The following is a 12,145-nucleotide window of genomic DNA, read 5'->3' as shown; positions in this document are numbered from 1 at the left end:
AAAAGGTTGAGAAGGTTGGGGAAAATTACTGGAATGTCCAGAATCAGGAAGTATACTTTAGATGTTGCCTTTAAATTTGAGAAGCAAAGCAAACACAGCCTACCATTGTCTTTCTGTTTCTGTTCTTTAAAGATTTTATTTAATGCCAAGCAATTCTTATGTATTTTTAAAAGTAGTTTAAGCAGAATTTCCTTTTAAAAATCCTTGCCACTGTAGATAATTGAGACCTTGGTTATTTATTAGCTGTGGGACCCTGGGCAAAACATTTCAGTTCTCACTCTCGTAATCTGTAAAGTGGATATACAACTTTCAGTGTATTGTTGAGATAGATTATGTCAAAAACCTTTGTCATTGTTGATAATATTGATAATAATAATGATTAACAAACCTGGCTGGGTGATGGAAAACAGTCTTTGTTTTATTTTCATAAGGATGTTTCTTCTAACTTCAGACTTTTAGAGGTATTAATATTCTTCTTCTTCTTCCTCTTCTTTTTTTTTTTTACTTCTACTTTAAGTTCTGGGATACATGTGCAGAATGTGCAGGTTTGTTACATAGGTATACATGTGCCATGGTGGTTTGCTGCACCTATCAACCTGTCATCTAGGTTTTAAGCCCTGCATTATGTATTTGTCCTAATACTCTCCCTCCCCTTGCCTCCCACCTCCTGACAGGCCCTGGTGTGTGATGTTCCCTTCCCTGTGTCCATGTGTTGTCATTGTTCAAATCCCACTTATGAATGAGAACATGTGTTGTTTGGTTTTCTTAGAGGTATCAATCTTCTATTGAGTGATAATTTTGTGTAGAGCTATCATTACATATCTAAACATTTCTTATTTTCCAAACAAATTTCTTTTAAAAAAAACCTCTATTTGCCTTTGAATTTATGCTTATGCTTTTACAGTATTACCTGCCAGCTAGTTTGTAAGTCAGGCTTTCAGAGGTTCAGAAAAGTGCCTGGTGGGTACATACTGCCTACATAAGTAGGAAGGTTTATCTAGATTTTTGTTCCCCACAAACTGGTACCAATAGATAAATTTCACAGCCCTTAGCTATTGAGATGTGTCCAGGATATAATTGTTTTAAGAGTAACATATATTTGAAAAGGTATGTTGAAATGCCTCATCTTTTGCAATATGATTTGAGTAGTATTGTTGCAATGTAGAACCTTTGTCAATTTGATTTTTCAAAATGATTTACTGTGGAGAGTCAGCAGGAAAATCCTCCAGTACTCGGAACTCTGTTGTTCTTAATTCCACTGGACAGGTGGAATCAACATAGGAACTGTGATGTGTTAGATACAAGGGTGACTCTGGTGACCAGGAATAGAAGCCAAGTGCAATGCCCTCAGAATCTGTGGCCCTGCAAACCAGACTGAACCCGTGCTGTTTATCCCACTCCTGACAGTTTATCCCACTCTTGACACTTCCCCTTGAGCTGCCAGATATTGTTGGAGCAGTGCAGCATAAGAAAGGAGAATGAACACTGGACTGGGAATGAGCAAACCTCTTTAATCTTATTCCATCTCTGATTCTGTCTAGTTGTGTGGCTTTTGGCATGTCTCTGACAAGTGACCATTGGTTGCTTATCTGTAAGTGGAAAGGTTAGACAAGGTCATCTCTTCTGTCTTTAAACTTCTGTGATTTGAGCAAGGCAAGAACAACGTGAGATCCTTCATTGGATGAGTGGTACTGCCACTTCCTCCGCATTCATAGAGAGAAAAGGTAGTTAAATAATGTATCTTTATCTTTCCTTTTTGCTCTTCACCCGATATTGGTGAGTAAAGAGCCACAGTCAATGACAGTGACAAGATAAATGAAGTTCCAGGCTCATGCTGATATTTGTGGGTCCAAGTGTAATATACTGTAATATATTGTCTTAACAGGTACCTGTAGGGCAGCTTGAGAATGAAAGAAAAAGCAGCTCTTTTTGCTTTTTTTGGCTTTGACACATAAAAGATGTCAGTATCTAGGTATTTCTAAACCTGTAGAGGGATTTTCTTTAGTCTTTTCCTCCCAGCCAGCACTTGGTGTAGTGGAGGCCACATTTCTCATTAGCTTGTCCTATGGCATATAAAAGTAAACAATAATGAAAAGGTCATTAGTGTAATACATATTTAGGCTCAGTTACTACCAGTTAAAGCGGTGCTTAAAAATTTAAATTTAAGCACCTGTTCACATATTTAAGTAGCATTACTAATTAAAAATTAACTCCTTTTCTAGAACTAAAACTGAGAATTGGTATTTTGGTAACCATTCTGCTAGGAAGCTCTACCACATTACTCAATATTATGGGATCCCTGAAGTGAACTGAAAGGGAGAAAGTTCAGTGGTGATGTTGCAGCTTTCTACCTTCCTTTGTCAAAACTTCCTGTTTCAGTAGGGAAATGGGAAGAGTGAGAGAGTTGTTTCCTTTCTCTTTCCTGTCTTCCTCTCTGAAGACAAAGTCACTGTGAACTCATTAAAAGGAGTCTAGATTGGTTAATTTGGGTTGACTAGCTAGATTCATTTGAAATGAATAGCTATAATATTTTCTTTGGTATTCTTTTTTTTTTTTTTTTTTTTTTGAGACGGAGTCTTGCTTTGTCGCCCAGGCTGGAGTGCAGTGGCACAATCTCGGCTCACTGCAAGCTCTGCCTCCTGGGTTCACGCCATTCTCCTGCCTCAGCCTCCACAGTAGCTAGGACTACAGGCACCCGCCACCACGCCTGGCTAATTTTTTTGTATTTTTTAGTAGAGACGGGGTTTCACCGTATCAGGATGGTCTTGATCTCCTGACCTTGTGATCCACCTGCCTCAGCCTTCCAAAGTGCTGGGATTACAGGCGTGAGTCACCGCACCAGGCCTGGTATTCTTTACTAAAACATAAATCATTAAAATAATTTGATTCATGCTTTGCTTTAAAAAACTGTTCAGTCATCTACTTTAGCTCACCTCCCTGGAAAATGAATTGTGTCAGAACATTCAGATATGCTTTCAACTAAATAATGTTTATGTTATAGATACATAAACAAAATCTTAAAAAATAAATACAAAGCATTCTTTATTTCACTATTCTTTATATGCAAAGCTAGTTTCATGGATTATGGCATGGCATTTTTGTTTGTTGGATGGTTTTTGTGTTTAATCACAGTTTTGGATTAACCTCTATGTTTTATATTAAGAAAGTTGACCTAGGAGTTGGGAGACATAGATTCTATTCTTAGTACTGCCACAAAAAAATTGTATAACCTTGGATAAACTACCAGATCTCTTTAGACTTTAATTTCTTCATGTATAAAGTGAGAGGGGCTTAGATTTGAAAATCTTTATGGTCCCAAATAGTTCTAAATCATAACTTGTGAATTTCTGTCTTTTGAGGAAAAAAATAGATTTTTAAAAAGTACTAAAATGACCATTTTGTAATACCATCTCCTGCATCTGTTTTTCCCTGTGGCACTACGTTTTCTTCTGGTTATGCTCTGAACATAACCCCCTTGACTCTATCCTACCGTTCTGCCTGTGCCCTTGTTATACTAATTTTAGTTATCCTTTTTGTTTTGGATTTTTTTACGTCTCTTTGCAAATACAGAGACCAAAAGTGGAACCGACAACCACGCTGGCCTGTGAATGCTGAGTCTGATTCTTTTATGGCATTTTTGTTGTCCAGGGAGGTCGAATTACCTTCTGAATTAAAATCCTATACGCTTTATGCTCTGCTATTCGGGAGAACAGTGTTATTCTGAAGATAGCATTGAGTTTTATAAGATTTGAGCCTTGAGACTGCCACTTACTATTAGGTTGCCATAGGATTCTTGGGCTAGTCATTTAACCTCTCTAAGCCTCAGCTTCTATTGCTTAATGTATACAACCTGTTTCTTGCCCAGGAGGCTGTGAGGATTGAGTAATGTTATACATCTGAAAGTGTTTTCTAAAATATAAAGATTTATGACCTTATTGTAGTTGGTTCCACCCCAGTACAATATGCATTCTGAAGTCAGTATTTATCGAGTACCTACTCTGAGGAGAATCAGTAAGAAGTTTATAATCAGACTGGGGATTTATATAAAGTTAAGTGTTACGCACCATAAGAAAGCTATAGCCTAAATTTCTGCAAAAGTTTAGAGAGATTATTTCTGGTTGGAGGTACTTAACAATAGGACTATATTTCTTACATTTATTTTGTAGGCCATTATGTATTTAAAAAGCCATTCTTGGACTTAGGCAGGCTTTTCCTTATTGTGCTAGTACCATTTGATTTTTATTCATAAATACACTAGCTTGGTTGTTTTCTATAACTAGCAACTATTTCTACTTTTTTTTTTTTGCGATGACTCCAACTCTTCATGTCATTTGCTAATTTACTTCCATTTTCATCTTCTGGTTCACTGTTGAAGAATACTAAATTTTGATCCAGTTTTGATCCAGGATTTACTTTTTTTTTTTTTTTTTTTTGAGACTGGGTCTTGCTCTGGCTGTCACTGAGGCTGGAGTGCAGTGGCATGATCCTGGCTCACTGCAACCTCTGCCCTTCTGGTTCGAGTGATTCTTCTGCCTCAGAATCCTGAGTATCTGAGATGACAGGCACCTGCCACCATGCCTGGCTAATTTTTTTGTATTTTTTAGGTAGAGACAGGGTTTCGCCATGTTGGCAAGGCTGGTCTCCAACTGCTGGGCTCAAGTGATCCAATCGCCTTGGTCTCCCAAAGTGTTGGGATTACAGGCATGAGCCACTCACTGCACCTGGCCCTTTTAGTATATTTCTTAAAATATCTTTCAAGATTGGCTTTGAAACTATGGTGACTTTCTAGCAGTGTATGCACATCCAAAATATATGTAGTTTATTAATGAGAATCATATGGGGTCTCTTCTGAAGCACAGACTACTTACTGTGTATATTGTCTACCCTCCTCCCATGGGCCTGTCAGTCCAGCATAAGGGAGATCGCTTCACAGAATTTCCTTATCTGTCACCTTAGTCTGTTTAGACTTGGTAGGATTAGAGCCACTTGATTGTGGGATTGGCTTTAGAGCTTTCCTTGCTGGCAGAGTTAAGTTTATTCATCTCCAATTATTAGTTAACATATCCCTGTTTGTTTTTTGTTTTAAAGGATTAGACACATAGAGTGTTGGAAGTTCTGGCCAGGGCAATTAGGCAGGAGAAGGAAATAAAGGGCATTCAGTTAGGAAAAGAGGAAGTAAAATTGTCCCTGTTTGCAGATGACATGATTGTATATCTAGAAAACCCCATCGTCTCAGCCCAAAATTTCCTTAAGCTGGTAAGCAACTTCAGCAAAGTCTCAGGATACAAAATCAATGTGCAAAAATCACAAGCATTCTTATATACCAATAACAGACAAACAGAGAGCCAAATCATGAGTGAACTCCCATTCATAATTGCTTCAAAGAGAATAAAATACCTAGGAATCCAACTTACAAGGGATGTGAAGGACCTCTTCAAGGAGAACTACAAACCACTGCTCAATGAAATAAAAGAGGATACAAACAAATGGAAGAACATTCCATGCTCATGGGTAGGAAGAATCAATATTGTGAAAATGGCCATACTGCCCAAGGTAATTTATAGTTTCAATGCCATCCCCATCAAGCTACCAATGACTTTCTTCACAGAATTGGAAAAACTACTTTAAAGTTCATATGGAACCAAAAAAGAGCCCATGTTGCCAAGTCAATCCTAAGCCAAAAGAACAAAGCCGGAGACATCACGCTACCTGACTTCAAACTATATTGCAAGGCTACAGTAACCAAAACAGCATGGTACTGGTACCAAAACAGAGATATAGATAATGGAACAGAACAGAGCCCTCAGAAATAATGCCGCATATCTACAACCATCTGATATTTGACAAACCTGAGAAAAACAAGCAATGGGGAAAGGATTCCCTATGTAATAAATGGTGCTGGGAAAACTGGCTAGCCATATGTAGAAAGCTGAAACTGGATCCCTTCCTTACACCTTATACAAAAATTAATTCAAGATGGACTAAAGACTTACATGTTAGACCTAAAACCATAAAAACCCTAGAAGAAAACCTAGGCAATACCATTCAGGACATAGGCATGGGCAAGGACTTCATGTCTAAAACACCAAAAGCAATGGCAACAAAAGCCAAAATAGACAAATGGGATCTAATTAAACTAAAGAGCTTCTGCACAGCAAAAGAAACTACCATCAGAGTGAACAGGCAACCTACAAAATGGGAGAAAATTTTCGCAACCTACTCATCTGACAAAGGGCTAATATCCAGAATCTACAATGAACTCAAACAAATTTACAAGAAAAAAACAAACAACCCCATCAAAAAGTGGGCAAAGGATATGAACAGACACTTCTCAAAAGAAGACATTTATGCAGCCAAAGACACATGAAAAAATGCTCATCATCACTGGCCATCAGAGAAATGCAAATCAAAACCACAACGAGATACCATCTCACACCAGTTAGAATGGCGATCATTAAAAAGTCAGGAAACAACAGGTGCTGGAGAGGATGTGGAGAAATAGGAACACTTTTACACTGTTGGTGGGACTGTAAACTAGTTCAACCATTGTGGAAGACAGTGTGGCGATTCCTCAGGGATCTAGAACTAGAAATACCATTTGACCCAGCCATCCCATTACTGGGTATATACCCAAAGGATTATAAATCATGCTGCTATAAAGACACATGCTCACATATGTTTATTGCGGCACTATTCACAATAGCAAAGACTTGGAACCAACCCAAGTGTCCAACAACGATAGACTGGATTAAGAAAATGTGGCACATATACACCATGGAATACTATGCAGCCGTAAAAAAGGATGAGTTCATGTCCTTTGTAGGGACATGGATGAAACTGGAAACCATCATTCTCAGTAAACTATCGCAAGGACAAAAAACCAAACACCACATGTTCTCACTCATAGGTGGGAACTGAACAATGAGAACACATGGACACAGGAAGGGGAACATCATCACACACAGGGGCCTGTTGGGGGGGGTGGGGGGAGGGATAGCATTAGGAGATATATCTAATGCTAAATGACGAGTTAATGGGTGCAGCACACCAACATGGCACATGTATACATATGTAACAAACCTGCACATTGTGCACATGTACCCTAAAACTTAAAGTATAATAATAATAAAATAAAAAAAGAAAATGAGAACAAATGAAAAAAAAAAAAACCAAAAAACCAAAAACAAATATTTACCCTTCCTTCAGTTTTTTTGAGAACTTTCTATGACTTCTATGTGTTCTTAGCCCTGGTGATCTGGCTATAGCACTAAAGTTATTTACATTGTATAGAATTATTATGTTGTTTTAAGGTAGAAAAGGAAAATGAAATCTTTTTTATCGGTATTCAGTTAAATATAAAATGGTTGATTTTTAGGGGAGATCTGGTTTAATCTTGGTCTTATAAATTCTTTTTCTTTAAACAGGATTTCTGGAATTCATAGGATATGTAATGACACTGCTGCATATTTATCAGTCAGAATAGCATGCAGTTTAGTGGAGAGTACTTGTTAGTCCAGTGCCTTACCAAGATAAGTACTCAGCTACTGCTTGAATGAATGAATGCACTTTTACCTCTTTACACTGGTGCCAGTGTTAATCTGAATTATACTGCTTATTCCTCCCCTATTCTTTGTATTAGAACTAGAGCTCCTCCTTCAGTGCAAATAACTTGGAGAATGTATTATTCTTATTTCACTGTTACAGTTACTGTTTGTTAGATAACATTCACATTTTCAAAGAGGAAGTATGCATTTGTCAGACTGGGTGGCAGAAATAGATACTGCTTTTTTTGTTTTTTTTTTTGAGATGGAGTCTTGCTGTCACCCAGGCTGGAGTGCAGTGGCACAATCTCAGCTCACCGCAACCTCTGCCTCCCAGGTTCAAGCAGTTCTCCTGCCTCACTCAGCCTCCTGAGTAGTTGGGATTACAGGCTCATGCCACCATGCCCATGCCCGGCTAATTTTTGATTTTTTTTTTAGTAGAGATGGGGTTTCACCATGTTGGCCAGGCTGGTTGCAAACTCCTGAACTTGTGATCCACCTGCCTTGGCCTCTCAAAGTGCTGGGATTACAGGTGTGAGCCACTGCACACCGGCCAATATTTCTTTGTTATTCTTACGTGTCTGGGGGTAAAGTAATACTAGATATAGAAAAAATTTATATAAAAAATATTTAAATCGTATTGACATGTGAATTTACTTTTGTTTTATTTCCCCATTTTCCTTCTTATAATTTCCGTAATAATTTCACATAAAAAAATCTAATTATTATAAAAACTAGAAAATACTGAAAAACATCAATAAAAAAGCTATCTTTAATTCTACCACCCAGCAATAATAAGTACAATCTCTTTTTGTCTGACAGTCTGTCTAAATATACTTGTCTAACTCTATTAGCCATATTGGTAGTTTTCAACATTTCACATCTTAACTACCACCTGCTATCCTACTACTTGATCAAACAAGTAAAGTGTCACTGCAGGAGAAACAGCCCACTTTTTATAAGTATATTTATATTTTTACAAACATTATGGTAGTGCCTTAACAATTGTTATAAAGACTTCATCTCTAACGCAGATGATTTCTGATCACTCCTGGTAACTCTTGGCCCACCAATTGGGAATGACTAGGTAGAACAGTCACAATTTATGAGCAGGGTTGAAAGTCTGCATGTGGGCCTTAGATCTTATTAAACTAGTTTGGATGGCTTCAGATAGGCACTAGCATCTGTGCAGATTACCCTGTAGGCTAGAATAGACTTCCCAATTGTAATTTTGTGTAATTCATCATGTGACAGATTTGAATCTAGGAATATTTGTCTTTATGTAATTTTAGTGCATATATAATACGTAAGGACTTTTTTCCCCCTGTTGCTGAACATGCTAGTCTTCCATGACTACTTTATTACTCCTGCATCTGGACAGTGATGATATCCTGTCAATTCTGCCTCCAAAATAACTCTTTACTATGACTCTACGTCTTTCACCCTGAAGTTACTGCCTTATTTTCGGTTTTACTTTTCAGTGTGTTGTAGAAGTTTCCTGACTGCCTGTATTCTTTCATTTCCCTCCTACTATATACTATAGTATTTCCTTACCATTTGTGAAGTTTCTTTCCTCCTTTTCTTCCTTTATTATAGTTTTCGACAATTTATTTTAGAAAATTTGAGAACTGTATGTACACAGAAAATGAACTTTATTACATAGAAATAACCACTGTGAGCATTATGGCATCTTACAGTTTTTTATTTTTTTCTATGTATGTGTGGAATGCACACACACTTGTGCATATATAGATACTTTTAAATTTAGGTCAATCTGGGCATTCTTTTACTTTTTAAAAAACTCAATATTCTGTGAACATTTTCCCATGTCTTTCTACTTTTTTTTGTTTATAATACAGATGTATTGTGAGTTATGCCTTCTTCCTGGACATTTAGATCTTTAGGTCCTCCTTTCCTTCCTTTCCTCCCCTCTTCTGTCCTTCCTTCTTTCCCTCCCAATACTGCAATATCCTTGTAGCTAAATTGTTTGGACAGATCAATAGTTATTCCTTAGGACAGTTGAGTAATGATTCTAAAATAACATAATCTCTGTTATATATATTTTATCTCTTTGTTTTGGTGGGTCTGGAATTTTTTATCCTGAAAGCTCTTCATTAGTCTGGCCCTTGCCTACCTTTCTGACCTTATTTTGTTTCCTTTTCTTATACCCTCCAGTTACACCAAACCATATGTGCTTTCTAAAATGTGCCTTACTCACACTTATCTATTTGCCCTCTTTTCTTATCCACCCAGTAAATACTACTTAAACCTTCCAGCCTAAACCTATGTGTGTTCTTGATTTCCCTAGGCAATTAGGTGACTCCTCCTTTTCATCTTGTGTACGCTTCTATTGGAATATTTCTAAAATTTTAGAAAATTATTAGGTTGGTGCAAAAGTAGTTGCATTTTTGCCATTAAAAGTAATGGCAAAAACTGCAGTTACTTTTGCACAGTCCCCTCTGCTAAGCCGTGAGTGCCTTAATGAATATTGTTCTAGTAATCTTTCTCTTTCCAGCACCTAACATATAATGGGTGCTTAATAAATGTTTAATAATTTTGAGATCTGGGAAAAGCAGATCTCTAAAATGATGTAAACAAATTAAATATACTTTTAAATTCACTCAAAAATACCTGGAAGAAAAAGTTACTTGATTGAAAAATATTAATGGGAAGTATAGCTACTATAGTTTTTAAAAAATATATGTGTCATAAATGATTAAGAAAATATATTACAGTAATTTACGCCTGCATTTAATGTTGAAACTATAGTTTTATTAGCCTTAACATAATTTAAGTGAAATGAAAACTTTTTCCTTACATTTTTATGTCAGCATGAATATTTGACTATTGTGTATCAACAAATACAGGGATAGTGTTTAAGATTTGAGTCATGTAATAGTATTTTTATAACTTAGCATATGAATATAATAAAAGTTGGACTGATTAAAGAATATTAGAAGCACATACAGTAATCATTGGGAAGGTAGAATGTTTGGAGACATGAAAGACTAACACCATGTTTCTGAAGAAAATGTTAATTGATAACGTAATTAAAGAACCCAGGATGATTGATCTGACCTTGTAATCATCTCTTTATATCTTGAGATTTTGGCTTAATCATTCAAAATGATGGCTACTTTCTTTGGTCTTAAAGTTCTTCTGTCCAAAAAGCTCCAACTTCTTTCCCATTGTTTGTTTAAATGTTAGCTAGTTTAATGTGTTATAACTTCTTTTACACTGGATTAACCTATAGTATGCTACAATTAATAACTCTTGAGCATATGTAGCAACTATTTTGTGCCGGGTAGCCTCTTAAGTCACCTTTGTTTATCATTGTATTCTTAGCACTTAGCCCAGTTTCTTAGTGCTTGGTACTACATTGTGATAGGTTTAAAAATTGGTATGTTATAGTAATATTTTTCTTTGTTTTCTTTTTTTAAAGGAAATGTGGCTTTAGATAATCTACAGATAAAAGAAAATGCCCTGGTAAGTTTTTTTTAAACTATGCTAATAACTCACTTAATTTGGTAAGTTCTTAGAAACCTTTGCCTACTAGGCATCTGATACCATGTACTAGATAAAGTGATGGAATCACTCAAGGGATTACTTGTTCAACTATTTGCTGTTGGAAAATCTGAGATTAAAGATTTAGAAATTTTTTCCCCTAATAATCAAAATAGTATCTCTTGGAAACGGAGTGTTTTTCGTTGATCTAATTTGACTGTATAGTTTTGTAGTTGACTTTTTCCTTATAGCAATATTTTCCTTCACTAGTGTCTTTACGTATTTTTGAGATAAATGAGGGCTTGATTTTAAATAACATATCTAATTTTGGAAATAGATTGATGGTCTAGCCTTATTATAGTAATATTAAGAGGTAAAATAGGATTTTCTGGACTTTAGCTCCAGAAAGTAATTTGTGTCATTTATTGTTGAGTTGAAAACAAACAAAACAATGCCCTCCATCCCCCAATTAGGTTTCTGTTTAGCTTGTTGGGCTAAATGTGAGTTTATGAAGTCACTTAATGAGTTTATTGTTTAATTAATTTTTTTCCGGCTTCCAACCTTTTATTTTTATTTTTATTTCTTTTTGAGATACAGTCTCACTCTGTTGCCTAGGCTGGAGTGCAGTGGCATGATCTTGGCTCACTGCAACTTCCGCCTCCCAGGTTCAAGCAATTCTTCTGCCTCAGCCTCCCTAGTAGCTGGGATTACAGGTGTGTGCCACCACGCCTGGGTAATTTTTGTATTTTTAGTAGAGGTTGGGTTTTGCCATGTTGGCCAGGCTGGTCTGCAACTCCTGACCTCAGGTGGTCTGCCTGCCTTGGCCTCCCAAAGTGTTGGGATTACAGGCATGGAGCCACTGCGCCCAGCCTAACTTCTTAATTTCTTTGATCTTTTAGCATGAGTTTAATCATCTATAAAGTGAAGTTAATTATAAAACAATATAATATCTCTGTGTCTTTGTGGCTTGAATAAGATGAGAAGTAGAGCCTGGCACTTAGTAGGTGCTCAAAAATTTAAATATTTTTCTCTTTTTTATATAGGAAGCTACAACTTTTTAAATTTTAAACAAAAATGTAGACCTGATTCTGTTGTTATAG

The 12,145-nt window shown here is 36.5% G+C and overlaps 1 protein-coding gene across 9 annotated transcripts in view; it reads left to right on the top strand.

Moving 5' to 3' along the window:
- Positions 1–12,145, top strand: part of VPS13C (vacuolar protein sorting 13 homolog C) — a 208,059-nt gene that overhangs the window by 5,209 nt on the left and 190,705 nt on the right. For all 9 annotated transcript variants that reach the window (XR_007064464.1, NM_017684.5, NM_020821.3 and 6 more), the window contains exon 2: positions 10,984–11,027. Coding sequence is in view for 8 of the 9 variants with exons in the window: in NM_017684.5 (NP_060154.3) it covers positions 10,984–11,027 (44 nt within the window). In the remaining variant the exon portion in view is untranslated. The remainder of the gene's footprint in view (positions 1–10,983; positions 11,028–12,145) is intronic.

The sequence above is a fragment of the Homo sapiens genome, chromosome 15, assembly GCF_000001405.40.
Source record: "Homo sapiens chromosome 15, GRCh38.p14 Primary Assembly".
Classification (NCBI taxonomy): domain Eukaryota; kingdom Metazoa; phylum Chordata; class Mammalia; order Primates; family Hominidae; genus Homo; species Homo sapiens.
Note: the sequence above shows the minus strand (reverse complement) of the source record. Positions and strands in the feature narration are given on the sequence as shown.